Source organism: Homo sapiens, chromosome 3 (assembly GCF_000001405.40).
Source record: "Homo sapiens chromosome 3, GRCh38.p14 Primary Assembly".
NCBI classification, from domain to species: domain Eukaryota; kingdom Metazoa; phylum Chordata; class Mammalia; order Primates; family Hominidae; genus Homo; species Homo sapiens.
The window spans coordinates 16,235,799-16,250,521 of NC_000003.12; the positions used below are offsets into that span (position 1 = coordinate 16,235,799).

The 14,723-nt window shown below is 45.7% G+C and overlaps 1 protein-coding gene across 1 annotated transcript in view, besides 2 other annotated features; it reads left to right on the forward strand.

The window, feature by feature from the left end:
* GALNT15 (polypeptide N-acetylgalactosaminyltransferase 15) overlaps positions 1 to 12,426 on the forward strand; it is a 73,545-nt gene extending 61,119 nt beyond the window's left edge. The window contains exon 10 of the mRNA XM_005264852.6: positions 8,206 to 12,426. Within this exon, the coding sequence (XP_005264909.1) occupies positions 8,206 to 8,214 (9 nt within the window). The 3' untranslated portion in view covers positions 8,215 to 12,426. The remainder of the gene's footprint in view (positions 1 to 8,205) is intronic.
* Positions 8,574 to 9,073: an enhancer, noted in NCBI's record as "H3K27ac hESC enhancer chr3:16285879-16286378 (GRCh37/hg19 assembly coordinates)". NCBI's record gives its function as "activates a minimal SCP1, AML or CMV promoter by ChIP-STARR-seq in naive H9 embryonic stem cells {active_cell/tissue: H9 hESC(naive)}" and the evidence as "EXISTENCE:reporter gene assay evidence [ECO:0000049][PMID:30033119]".
* Positions 11,544 to 11,838: an enhancer, noted in NCBI's record as "tiled region #8904; HepG2 Activating DNase unmatched - State 1:Tss". NCBI's record gives its function as "activates a minimal TATA promoter and a strong SV40 promoter by Sharpr-MPRA in HepG2 cells {active_cell/tissue: HepG2}" and the evidence as "EXISTENCE:reporter gene assay evidence [ECO:0000049][PMID:27701403]".
* Positions 12,427 to 14,723: the final 2,297 nt, after the last annotated feature.

A 14,723-nucleotide genomic window follows, 5' to 3' on the forward strand; every position in this document is an offset into this window, starting at 1 on the left:
GATACCAGTAAGACTAGGCATTCAGGTCAGGTGTGGTGGCTCATGCCTGTAATCCCAGCACTTTGGGAGGCCAAGGCAGGCAGATCACTTGAGGTCAGGAGTTCGAGACCAGACTGGACAAAATGGTGAAACCCTGCCCCTACTAAAAATACAAAAATTAGCTGGGCATGGTGGCGGGTGCCTGTAATCCCATCTACTCGGGAGGCTGAGGCAGGAGAATCACTTGAACCAGGGAGGCGGAGGTTGGAGTGAGCCGAGATCACACCACTGCACTCCAGCATGGGCAACAGAGCAAGACTATGTCTCAAAAAAAAAAAAAAAAAAAAAAAAAAAGGACTGGGCATCAGTGGAATTAGAACTCAAAGGCCAGAGTAACAGTGGTATGGAGAAGAATTAATACAGATTGTTGCCACATACCACCAAAGAGTGCCAATCAGGATATTTCAAAATTATGTTAGACTATGAACTAGAGTGGGGTTAGCAAACCTTTTCTGTAAAGGGCTAGATAGGAAAGTGCTATACACTGTTTCCCTCTTTTTTTGCAGACTCTGTTAACTCTGTTAACTACTTGACTCTGCCATTGTGGTACAAAAGGAGCCGAGCCATGGACAATAATCAACAAATGACCATGGCTGTATTCCAATAAAACTTTATTTACAAACACAGGTGGTTGGCCAGATTTGGCCAACAGCCATAGTTTGCCACCCCCTGGACTACAGTATTTGACTCAACTGTAGGAGACAAATTACAGATTACTTAAAAATAAACAGAGAAATATTACCAGCGAAATAGTGAATGAGCTTTAAAAATATAAAAATAAAGTGTTTCTCTGTTATACATAACAGAACAGCAAAAAATAACAAAAAAAGAGGGAAACAGTGTATAGCATATGTTCTCATTATGAGCACACTCCAGTCCTTTTTATAAAAAAGTAGGAATAAGCAAATTATTTTTAAAAATCAAATAATAAAACATTGACACTGTAGTCCACAGTCTTCTTTCTTTGGGGGACATAAAGATTCCAGGGGCCTTCACTGTTAACAGAGGTTGAGCAAACGAGCTTTCTTAATGAGACCACAGCTGCAATAAGAACATGAACATGGAAGGGAGGGCTCCTCAGAAGCACAGAGTAACTCTCAGTATCTTAGCCAAGCCAAAGTGATTAAACTGTGCCAAGAGATACAGTTTAACACTCTAGTTTTTATCTTACTGTGGTGAAGACATTCACAAAGGGCAAAGCACACGCTCCCGCTAACACACAAATCTTTTGTGTTTGGGATGTAAGGACAATCAGACACAAGCTCTGGTGTAGGACAAAAGCAATAACCTCTGGTTATTTATATAAACTCTGATCTCTGGCGTTCAATTTAGCCAGACTTCAAAACACAAATGGTAGAAGTCAAGCCAAGGAAAGGGACTTCCAAAAGCAAGCCTTGAGGCCAGGGCTATACCAGGCCAACAAACCTTACTCCTTGTGCTCTGAAGCCAATACAAGCTCATAAAACCTGTTTAACAGCCAAGCCTAGGGTGCCTCCTGCCTGTTATGATCCATGCTTAGGGCTGTCCAGCCCATCATGCCCCTTCACATGTCAGTATTGGCATATCCAAGGCTGGTTCCAGATAAAACAAATGGCCTGAGGCACCTCACCCTCCTCACACTCATGGACAGTTCCAAGCTCTCCAGCCCTACATCTACTTTGCATTCTGTTGCTCTACTGGCCGTGCTGCTGACCCCAGCTATTATCGTCTAGTGAGCCTTCACCATGCACAAGGGACAGGCAGCTGTGCAGATCTGAGTACCCAGGTGGAAGCCACAGTTGAGGCCTATTGACTTTTATCTTAGAGATAAAGTCCTGTTCCCCCACCACTCCCCAGTGTGGGTCATATGTAAAGGAATGTAACTCTTTGAGAGTCTCCAGTCAACTCTTTGAGCATATCCTTGACCACTCTCCTTGGGAGGCCCTGGCACCTGGGTCTAGGTAGTGGGTTGGTTTGTCTGATGGTGGAGCCACCACTGTCTCCTTGAGGTTCCCGCTCCCTGACCCTGGCTATAATATCCCCTCACAGACTGGTTTACGCAATGGCCTCACCCCTCAGCTTGTCAGGTATTCAGGATCCCCCACCTACCTATCTGCTACCTCCTCACCTAATCTCTCTATCCAGATGACGCTAGCCTTGCAGGTGGGATCCAGATGGACAAGTGATATGTGTTGCTTTAAGGTGGCTCTTTTCCCTACACTGTTATTCAGTACGGCTCTGCAGAATTATCTTCCAGAATAAGTTATAGGCTTCTTTTAGCAAAGAGCCATGGTCTACACTTCCTTATTTTCCTCTTAGCAGTTACCATGGAGTTGGTTGCTTGACTTCGTGGATTCCAGTATGGAGGAGAAAAAACCAGGAGTTAGGATATAGAAAAATGACATTTCAAGAGTTGGGAGAAAAATCAACTAGAGAAAAATGTGGACATCATTAGACAGTAATATCTCTGTGACCAAACATATGTATTCACTGCCAGAAATCATAGTAATAACAACAACCATAGTGCTAAGGCTGTACTAACTTACTAGCACATACTATTACTATGATAATAGTAATAACATTACCATTGTTAGTACTATGTACTATTACTATTGTAATGTTGTTACAATATTAACAACATTAATATTAATATTGTTGTTAATATTGTAACAACATTGCAATAGTTGTTGTACTCAAGTTATTTTTTCTTATAATCACAATAGGCCAATGATGTAAGGACTACTATTATCTCCGTTTTATATTATCTCATTTTATAGTTGAAGGGTGAGGTTTCCACAGGCAGAGTAATTTTCCTAAGGCTATGCAACTTCCAAAGTGATGGACCTAGATCACAAACCCAGTTTCATTTGGTTCCAAGGCCTTCACATTTAACTTCCACATTTGATTGCCTCCCAGTATTTGTGAGTAAAGAAAATAAAACAGGGACTGTCCAAATGGGAATGGGTAAAAATAAGGGCCAGGTTGTTTTAGGACCTGCCAAAATTAGGTGCATTGGTTTGGATGCATTCAGGTACAAGGAGCAGAATAACCAACTCCCAGGGGCTTAAGAAATAAAGAACTTTAGTCATCTCACATGCCTAGTTGAGGACAGGCAGTTCTGTGCCTGGTACAATGGCTTACAGACACCTATGATCCAGGCTCTTTTTAAACTTCCACTCACCATTCCTGTTGGCTTTTGATCCTGGTTTCTGTCTCTTTACCAGCACAAGATGGTCACCACAACACCAAACATGACATCCTGGCCCCAGAATCCCAAACAGGATGGAGAGGGCGGCAGAAGCAAGTTCTCCTCATTAATAATGTCTTTCTCTTCACTGAGAAAGCAAGATCTTTCCCAGAAGCCCCCCAGCAGACCTTCCCATCTGTCTCATTGGCCAGAGTCCTAGCAGCAAGGGTGGCTGGGACAGTGGCAAGGAAAGTACCTCAGCAAAGGCTGGGCACATTGCCACCCAGAACCTCACAAAGGTTCTGCAAACCAGGAAGTGGGAAGTTGGCAGATGGATGGCCAGTGACAGTACATGCATTTTGAGATGCCTCCTCTCTCAGGCAAGATTGGGCTCAGCTTCTTTTTTTAATGTCATGGGATGAAAACTGCAGGACACTGAGACAGAGACCTATAAAATCCTGTGCTCACAATTCCTGGGTATTATCCATTCAGCTCCTGCCCTCTGCCCAAGTAGGAACCTTCAATGCCCCAGAAGCAGCTCCGTGTACTCAGTTTGGGATATGAGGAAAGTGCCTGCCATCTGGAACTCAGCCACTGCTATCATAATCGGTCAAACACTCTGGGAAGCAATGGTGTTCTGATTTCTTTTACTGCACAGCTTCCAATAAAATTTGTGGCCCAGGTGTGACAACCAATAGAACTCTTTCACTTTATTCTTGTCTCTGAGATTCTGGTTTCTACTTGCTTTCTAAAAGAAACATAAAAGGCAAGTAAGCATGGCGTGTAAAAGTGAAGGGGGTGGGCTTCCCATGGGATATATGATGATTTTCTTCCTTTGTTGTAAACATATGATATAGGAAGTTGCGTGAGAATCTTGCTTAAAACAATAGTGACAACCTTTTAACCCCATCTGCTTCCCATTAATGGGAAAAGCCGTTACATGGTAGTGTCAAGGGGCCTCTGGATTTTCTCAAGGCTTTACCATAAGACAGATGCTTAAGACAAAATCCTCCAACCCTTTGGTTCTAATCCTCCCCTTCTTAGTCCATTCAGAAAGCACAGAAGGTAATGGCATCTGGCCGATACTCATGAGGGCTGGGTTGGTAAAGTGAAAACCTTTCTGTGCTGTGACAAATTTCACTGGCTGTGCTTTAGGTAGTTTGCAAAGCACAAAGTTAAGTTTCTGGATGATATGTTCATGATTAACAAACCAGATTATAATGCCCTTTCCAGAGTGAATTCTAGTTCTTAGGATTACTTTGCAGATTTAAAAACAATAAATATTTATTAAATATCTGTTATTTACCAAGGTCACACCTCTAGGGCCTTGTCCCGTGTGTTTTCTGAACCACTGGCGTGGATGACTTGATGAGTCACTCATGAATCAGAAAATTGCAAAATATCATCTTCACTGAATTTTATGTCAGCACAGACTCAGTCAGAGTTGAATATGGACTCCCTGGTTTCTGGGAAGGCAGAGATATTTCAAAAACATTTCCAGGAAGGCAATCAAGTGCTCCTTTTGATGCATTTGCCAAGTGGGACACAAAATAGACCTATATTTGTAAATAACAATCTTTTTCAAACACTGCCATGGGGATATGCCCAGCTTATAGTGATCCTTAAAATATGTATTGTGAAGTAATAATCCACCTATGTTTCAGTAATTTCCAAGTGTTTCTCCAGCCTTGACTCCAACCATGAACCTCAGATTCACACACTCAAGCACCTTCAATCTACACTAGAGCCCGAGTAATCAACCTAAAGCACTCTCCTTCCATAATCTCTTCTATGACTCCGCATCACCTTCAGAGTAATGACCCGCCTCCCCAGCACAGCCTGACTACAAGTTCCTCCCTGACCCTGCCTCCACCCTCTGGACTCACCTGCTACTATTTGCCCCATCTCTGAACACCAAAGTTTTTGTAGTTCCCAATACAACACCCTTTTCCTTGTCTCTGCTCTAACCATGCTCTGTTCCCTCTGCACAGAATGCCCTTCCCTCCGTTTGCCAGCTTCTTCTTACCTATCATGCATGACTCATATACATCATGTCTCTGGAGGGTCTTCCTCGAACCCCCGGGCTGAATTAATTACCCCTCTTCTGGAGCACTGCATATGTAGCCCTGTCTTAACATGGACCACTTTGTGTTAAAATTATCAAAAAGATGTTTCCTCCTCTGGACTTTAAACAAATTTTGCTTAGCTTTTTGCCCAGAGTCCCTAGCATAGTATCTGACTCTTGACAGGCACGTAATACATGCTTGTTGAACTTCAACTAAAGCGATCACAGCATCTTTCTTTTGTGCCTAGAAACAAGCAGAATGAAAGTGGAAAAGAAAAATTACAGAGCTAAAATTTAGACACTGAAGAGGTCTTATTTGAGGTCAAATTTAAGAGGACTTTGTCCTGATCACTTTTTGGATGGCTTTAGACTCTCCACATGTGGCTGTAGCAATTCCAGACTCCCACTGCACTGTTCCAGTTATCTTTTGCTGCATAACAAACTACCCCAAAACTTAGTGGCTTAAAACAGCAACTTTTTTTTCTTTTTTTTCTTTTTGAGATGGAGTCTCATTCTGTTGCCCAGGCTGGAGTGCAATGGCGCGATCTCGGCTCACTGCAACCTCTGCCTCCTGGGTTCAAGCGATTCTGCCGCCTCAGCCTCCCAAGTAGCTAGGATTACAGGCACCTGCCATCATGCCTAGCTAATGTTTGTATTTTTGTAGACATGGGGTTTCACCTTGTAGGCTAGGCTGGTCTTGAACTCCTGACCTCAGGTGATCCACTCACCTCGGCCTCCCAAAGTGCTGGGATTACAGCCGTGAGCCACCACACCCGGCCAAAACAGCAACTATTATGGCTCATGATCAACTAGGCAAGTCCTCTGCTTCATGGGGCTCTAACTGGTGTCACTTGGTGGTGTCAGCTCATGGCTGTTCTTTTCTGGAGGGTACAAAAGAGCTTCTCACATGGCAGGGGAGGCTGGCAGGCTGGACTCAGCTGGGCCCTCCCCTCTCCATATAATCTCAAGACTTGTCTCCGTCATCTCTGTGGCAGCTATCTTACACAGTGGTTGAACATCTCCAGAGACCAACAGGATTTCTGCCAGTCTTCTTAAAGGCCAGACCTGGGACTGACATAACATCTCCTCCAGCATACTCCTTTGCTCAAAGCAATCACAGGCCAGCCCAGGCTCAGGGAGGAGGGGAAGCAGACCCCACTTATCAAAGGGACAAGTAGCAAAAGTGTGCAGCTATCCTTAAGCCACCATGCCTGCAGGCCCAGTGGCTAAGACTGAGTCTATGTCCCAGAATCCCCAGCAAAGCTCTACTGTTTACTCTGACTGAACTGACTTGCAGAATGCGTCTGCCCCTGAACTAATCTCTGTGACCAGGAGCTTGGGAAATCTTGATTAGAGCTGGAGGTGGAAACAATTTTGGCCAATATTATGGTTAAGAAACTCTGTAGGGGCTGAGCGTGGTGGCTCATGCCTATAATCCCAGCACTTTAGGAGGCCGAGGCAGGCAAATCTCTTGCGCCCAGGAATTCGAGACCAGCTTGGGCAACATGGCAAAAACCAATCTCTACCAAAAAAAAATAAAATAAAATAAAAGTAAAATAAAATACCTAGGCATTGTAGCACATGCCTGTAGTCCCAGCTACTCAGGAGGCCGAGGCAAGAAGATCACTTGAGGCTGGGAGGTCAAGGCTGCCGTGAGCCGTGATTGTGCCACTGCCCTCCAGCTTGGGTGACAAAGAGAGACCCTGTCTCAAAAAAGAAAAGAAAAGAAAAGAAAATTCTGTAAGAAGGAGGTGGTGGTAGGGATTGCTGGGTAGGTGTCTTAGTTTAGGGTAATGTAAGTGCAGAACCTGAGCAAGGCCTTGGATGCAGGTGATTTATTTGGGAGGTGATCCCAGGAAGCAGGAGTGAGAGAGAGGGAAGAGTAAGATAGGCAGGGAAGAAAAGTCAATGTAAGGGTGCTTTGAGCAATGGGGTTCGATTCTTTCTACTCTGAGATGCCCACAGAACATGTTCCAGAACTATCTACCTAAAGAACACCAGACTGAGACATTTTCCCACCAGCTCTCCTCTCTTATTGGTTGAGGGTTACACCCGGGGCCATTCACTCCCTGGGATACACTTTGCAGGCTGCACTTGCAAGAGCAGACCAGGCTCCCAAGGCTTTAGAGAAGACCCCAAGGCAGAAATGTGGAGAGGGTGGGGCTTGACCTGGATGTCGTGCAAGATGAATCTAAGCCCCCATGGAAGTTCGGCCAGAGCTGGGGCTGATATCCAAGGAGGCCCAAGGATGCGACACTGGACACCGAAACATCTGCAATAAGAGCCAACCAACAAAGGTTCCCTCAGGTCAGAGCCCAGCTCGCCTTGCCAAATGGCTCCCAGAGATCACTTCTGCAGCTGATGCAGTGGGCGCCCAGGGAGCACCTCCTTCCTGTGCAGAGGTTGGCACTGGCCAGCTTCCCTTGGGGCTATGCCCACCCGCCAGCACCACCAGGAACATACCTCTGGGTGATCAAAGTTAGGTTTATTGGCAGGTGTAGCAAGGAAGACCACCCACATGAGGAACCATGGGTGTCTCAGTAGGACAGTGTCCAAAGGAGCTTCTCAGGAGGTCAGGGCTTGGGTTAGGTGATTTGGGAAAAGATTGGGAAGCATGGTCTTGCTAGGGAGCTGTCAGAAACTGGGACAATTTTATAAACGGGCATCCTAATAATTTGTATCTAGGTGATTGTGGGAAGAACAGAGCAGGGCTGGAGCTGTACTTGATAAACACCCCTCATATTTGCCAGGAGAAGGAGCTATTTGGTCATTTTCACAGTGTGCTGGGTGTTCTTATTTCAGTGTGGTCTTGTTGTCTCACTCCACCACAGCCACAGATTGACCTTGTCTGATGTCGTGTTCTGTGAAGTTGTGTATGTTAAGTAAGGAGCGGGCTCCAGTCAGACCTGGGGGTTGATGACTTTTTCTTTCTCAGGTCTCATAAGACACAGGCTCTGCACACTCAGAAGAGTGGCAGGCACCCATGGTAACACAGCTGCATGGCTCAAAGTAACAATCAAGACAGAAGAACAGGCACCGATCGATAGGACTCTTCTATCTCCTAAAGCTCTTTTGAAGTCTGGCAGAGACGTTTGAGTGGCTTCTGTCCACCTCCTCAGTGACTCACAGTGCGATGCTCATGGTTGAACCTGAGTGATGCCAGCAGCAAGGAAACTGACAGAGCTCGCCGATCCATTTCCTGTCATTCACTTGAGGGTGACAAAGCATGATGGTGACAGCTCAGATAACATTCCTGGCACAAAATCCTTAAACTAAATGGAGCCTGGCTGCCAGGAAGGAGAGGAACAGGCATTCCAGGGGCAGACTCTGCTGCTGGCTGCAGCCACACAGGAGAGCTTTAAACAGGATTCTGAACTTAGAGAGCAACAGGATTTGTGCACCACTGCTACACTGATCAATGCCAATAGTTGGCCCAGGCTGGAGGATGGGCCAGGCATCCTAACGCCATTGGGCAAATCCAAGGTTTAAGGAAGTCAGCACAGTTGGGGTACACACTAGAGAAAGCTACATGTTTTGAAGAATGTGCAGACTCCTTGAGCCCCCACAAAGCAGCCTCACCATCGGCATGTAGACAGTGCAAAGTTGAATGAGAATCTCATTAGAACTTCTGGAAGCTCATCTCTTTCTTACCAGACCCATGCTTAAGACTGGAGTCCTGGCAGAGGCTAATATTCCAGATATGAGCCAGAGACAACCTCGTCTGTGCCAGGGGCATGTCACCCAAACTGAGGTCATATAATTTAAAATATAACTCCAAAGTTCAGTAAGGTATGGCGGAGAAACCTCTGGTGCCTGTATCACATGTCCTCAGGCCTTCTCTGCTTTCCGCCACTGCTGCTGAACAGTTCTGTGCAGCCTCAGATCCCCTGAGCCCTGTGCTAAGTGTCTTCTGCATTATGCACCAGGGTTTTCTCTGAAGGCAGAGTTACTCAAACATCCAGGGAGCAAGCACCCTGGCTTGCTAGGACAGTTAACACTCCCAGGACAACTCTCAGTCACTGAGGGGATGGGAACCAGTGGATGGATGTCTGGCCTCTGTCTTTCAGGTGGATAATTATACAACGCATCCTGTATATTTTTTAAGAGGGTCAACAGAATCAAGTGGCAACTTTAACGTGTCCTTATATTGGCGCCTCCTTCTGCCCCATCTCACATCCTCACTCCCACACTCCTGCTTCCCAGGTTCACACCCCTCATGAACCACCTGCATCCAGTCCTTGTCTCATGCTCTGCTTTCAGGGAAACCCAAACTAAACCACACATGAGCACAGTCTTCCTTTATAACACAGGCTTTCTAGACTAACATGGCTGATGCACATTCAGTCTCCAACTTAGGCCCTAGAACGGAAACAGGGCCCAGCCATCCAGACACCTGTGGGAATCCTGCCACAGGGCCCTTGGCCCCACTCTAGGGCTGGTCCTACATCCTAAACATAATCAAGAAATTCTTTCCAGTTTTCTTGGCTGGGTCCTTTCTAGCAGGAACATTTTGATGGCATGTGACAGAAACTGAAATTGAACCGGTTTGGTCCTGTAGAAGCAGGGGAGATTACTGGAAAAATACTGAAGCATCACATGAAATTGAAGGAAGGGTTCCCCAATCCATGGGAAGGGCAGGGGTGCAGCTGGGCCTCAGGGGAAAAGCCATATTCCCGGCTTCTTCCACATGGAGGACTGTAGCCGCAAACAGCTCAGGAGGCCCATATGAAAGAAGACACATGCATATGCAAATATCATAATGAGAAAGTGTTTCTGCAAGCTCCAGGGAGGAAGAAGCTTTGTCACTATTTTTTCAGTGATTAACTGGAGTGTCTAAAACAGTATCTGCAATATGGTATATGGGTAATAGACATTTGTTGAATGAATGAACAGTAGAAGGAGGAAGAGGGAAAAAGAGGAGGTGGGATGGGAAGAAGGTTTGGGGTATGACTGTGAATGAAGCTATCTGGCCTTCAGCTTTGGATGGACCTTGCTTTTTCAAGAGATTATGGCTGGGGGCATTATCCCATCTTCCTCAGCTCAGAAGCTTGCTGTGGCTCACAGTTTCCTGTGGAAACAACCTGACCTCCTTAGTGTTACATGCAAATCCCTCGCAAGTTGGCCCCTACAACCTCCTCTTCACACACCCTCCACTCAGAGCACACTGGCCCACAGCCCAGGGCCATCCTGAGGGAACTGTCCTAAGGGTCACTGTGCCCTCCTCTGGGACAAACATACATGTTTTGAAAGTGGTTTTTTTTTTTTTTTTTTTTTTTGAGATGGAGTCTCGCTCTGTTGCCAGGCTGGAGTGCAGTGGTGCAATCTCGGCCCACTGCAACATCCGCCTCCCGGGTTCAAGTGATTCTCCTGCCTCAGCCTCCTGAGTAGCTGGGACTACAGGTGCATGCCACCACACCCAGCTAATTTTTGTATTTTTAGTAGAGACGGTTTCACCATGTTGGCCAGGATGGTCTCGATCTCTTGACCTCGTGATCTGCCCTCCTCGACCTCCCAAAGTGCTGGGATTACAGGCGTGAGCCACCGCGCCCAGCCTGAAAAGGATTTTAAATTGTTTTTATGAGGGAAACATGTTATCTTGTTCATGTAATACTCTATAGCAGAACCCAGTAGGGAATAATAGATTCTGCATATATAGGAATACTCTTCTAACTCTGGAAAGAAAAGCATAATATTATATAGATTAAAAAGAAAAGTATTTATAGCAATAAATAATTGAAATGAAAGTATTACAGGAATAAAATATTTTAAATAAAAATTAGGTGGGAAAATTGACATTGTACTTGATGAGTTGTGAGGCCTATGGCTTGTAATTTTTCTGAGAAAGTTAGAGAAGCATGAAATGAGTATATTCACAGTGTTTGCTGTTGTTGTTGTTGCTATATATTTACCATTGTGTTTCCTCTTCAGAATGTGGCTTTTCATACATAAATACATTTGCACAGAGTAAATTTTGGATGAATTTGAACCAGGGGGTAGAAGATATATCTTATATTCCAGCAAAGACTGTAGTGTGTGTGTGTGTGTGTGTGTGTGTGTGTGTGTGTGTCTGTTTGTAAGACCTTCTGCTAAAGGATGCTTGCAGACAAAGTCCTTATCAGCCATGACACAGAAATATGGATCAATAAGTGTGTATTGAATGGATGAACAAGAAAAGAGAAAAGCAGCAATTTAGACTGTGTGCCTAACACTGTGCAAGGTGCTTAGCACATGTCTTTTCATTTAATCCTCACAACCACCCTGCAAGGTGATTTTCATCATGTCTAATTTACAGAAGGAGAAACTGTGGCTTGCCCAAGGTCACAAAACTAACAAAGGATTCAAATCCAGGAACGTCAGATCATGATGCCTTTGCCGTCTGCATTGAGCGCCGCAGCCCTAATTGGTTAGCTTGCGCCACCTAGTGGCAGAACTAAAACAGGAACCAGGTCAGCCTGCAACAAATATTAAAGCAGCAGGCTGCACCCTTCAACGGGGCTTGTGAAACCTGGAGAAGCACAGGCACGCCTGTGACCCACACTCACTCCAACCCCACAACTGATAAAAGACAACGCAAGGCCCAGAATCAGATAACCTGGGAAAGTGTGTTGTAAATGAAGCATCATTTCCTCTTGAAATACATTTTTTGTCTTCCTGTACTGGGAACATAAAAGTCCCTCACCATCCCCTTGACCTCTCAGCATTTCCAGGGCTTCCCTCGACCTCAGTCTGCTGTCCCCCTCCCGGACCCAGCACCTTTTTAGCACTGAGGATCTAACCTTGTGCTCATGAGGCCTGGCTTGGTGGCGACACGTCACCCAGCACACACAGGGGCTGTCCCAGGAACGAAGTGGCATGCACATGTGGCACTCCAGGCTTCCAGCTCATCTGTGAACAGCTGCGGTCATTTGGTGGCGAAAACTCTACAGCCCACCTACCAGCCTCCTAGCCGCAGTCCCACCTGCTCCATTTTCACTACAGTCGTTTTTGAAGAGGGGCGGTGTTTCTCCTGCAGTTTACTGACAATGTTTACAGAGAAGCTATCGTTCAAGCTACTGTTCACTGCCTCCCTCCCCCGCTCAAAACACATGAAAAGTTATTCTGCCCTAGAAAATATAGGTGCCTTAGCCAGCAGGCAAATAAACATCCTCGTGGTCTATGCCCTGCTTTTGTGGTCTAATTCATTTTCTCCCTCATTCTCTCTCTCATTCTCTCTCTTATTCTCTCTCTCATGCTCTTTCTCTCTCATTCCTTCTCTCCCTTCCTCGTTCTCTGTATCTGTATCTCTGTCTTTCATAAGCCGAAACACACATACACACCGTGATATAAGAACATATAAAATCACGTGTAAGGATATTGGAATACAATTTAAGGTGAGTGCAAAAAAGGGCAGAGAATGGGCAGTGCAGAAAAGCTGGAGTTGTCGGGGGAGAAGACTGCTGGGCCCCGGATGATGAGCCCTTCTCTGAACAGCATCCAGTTTGGACACAGTAGAGAACACTGACAATCCCAGGTCATTGTGCCTTCAGTTCCTTAGAGGAAAAAAAGACAGCTTGAAGACAAAATCACTGTGAGAGTCACAGAAATGACAATGAGGCATCTGTTTTTACTTGAAATAGGTATGCATTTTTAAATGCCTCGCTTACCTCAGGTGGGTGGTGAATTCTAACGTACTTTCATGCCAGTTACTTCTGCACACCAGTGGGAGGCATCCCTGAGTGCTCTCTGACAGCTGAACGGATCTTCTCAGAGATGCCCTTATTCCAGCACTATTTCTGCAATGTATAGAAAGCACTATCCTTGGAATCAGTTTCCTGCACTTGGGAATGAGGCGATGGAGACTGAGGAGCCCCAGACGGGAGCCAAACAGAACCTTGGCTGGGGTGGGCTCCTCGTCAATGTGTGTGTGGATGGGGCATGGCCAGGCAGGGCAGAACTTCCTGACCAGCTAGGAGTCTGTGGAAAGCAGACTGGTTAATAACATGGACCATTCCAGCTCCTATCATTATGCATGGCACATAGCAAGAACTTAACAAATATTGATTAAATGAAGAGGAGTAGCAGACACTTACTTCACATTTTTCCACATGCCAGGCCTTGTTCTAAGTGCTTTTCTTATGCTAACTCATTTTGTCCTTTCAACACTCCAGTGAGGCCGGTGCTGTTACTCTCCCCATTTCACAGATGGGAAGACCGGACAGAGAGAGGCTAAAATGCCCAGAATCAAACTAGAAAAAGGCAAAGCAAGGATGTACATGAGTATGAAGCAGGTGCTGTGCTAACTGCTTACAATTGTTATTTCATTTGACCCTCATAGCACCCTGTGAAAGAATATCATTGTCCCCATTTTATAGAAGAAACTGATGCTCAGAGAGGTTAAAACAATTCCCACTAATAAGTGGCAGACTTAGGATTTGAACCAAGGACAATCTGACTTCAGACATAGCCATAGGGGATTAGCGCCCCCTATTGCCCACTCTAGTGAGTTCTTAGGCTGTTGGGGAGCAGCCTGGCAGTGTCCAGGGTTGTCCTATATGCCTGCTGGACCCTGGCTGACTGGGCCCTGACAACCAGCATCCTGGAACTGGCCAGAGGTGCAGGGACAGGCTGGGGAGGGGTGCAAAGGCCCTATCTGCTCCCTTCCAGTCGTCTGGGGCGTTCTCACATTGGCAAGGGCAGAGTGCTCCCTTCCTCTGAGTGGATCAGGGATGACATTGATAGGCCCCTGGAAACCAGAACTGCTGGCTTCTTCTGGCCTGTGTCTCAGATGCTGACCTCTGGGGAGTGAGAGTCGGTTGGAAATCCAGCCCTTTCCTCCTCTCTGAGCCCATCTCCTCTGGAGGGGTGCTTTCCTCTTGGCACCTTTGTGCCACATGGGAAATTCAAGTGTCCTTTGGTCCTGCTGGAGAAATAATCCTGCCAACAAAAAGACCCCTTCGTACCAACACAGGAGAGAGAGGGCCCAATTTGTCACTGGGTAAGCATTAACAGACTTGCGTGAAAGTGATGCCAAAGTCTGGACAGAATTTCACACAAATTTATAAAGTAGAAGAAAGAGCAATAAAAACTTCTCTTTTTATCTCCTTGAGTGACAAATGGATGGGTCTTGTGATTGTTTCCTGTGCACCTCCAGAGACTCCTGATTTAATTTCCAAGGTGTGTGTTAGTATTCTAAGGATTAGAACGTCCTAGACTTTGCATTATAAAATCTAAAAGTCAAGAAGGCTCCCTAAAGGGTGCCTCCCACCTTAAAGGAAGTAGCATCATTTTATCCTTACTGTGTCTTCTGAAAAACCACCAATATTATTCCCCAAAAACACCTCTTTTTAACAAAAATTTAATGACATGACCCTTCCCATTTCTCTGTGCATCACTTGGTGGAAATCTACAGTGAGTAGAGTTTACCAAAAACTTCATGTTTATTACCTATATTTTTCCACTACCCTGGGAACCTCC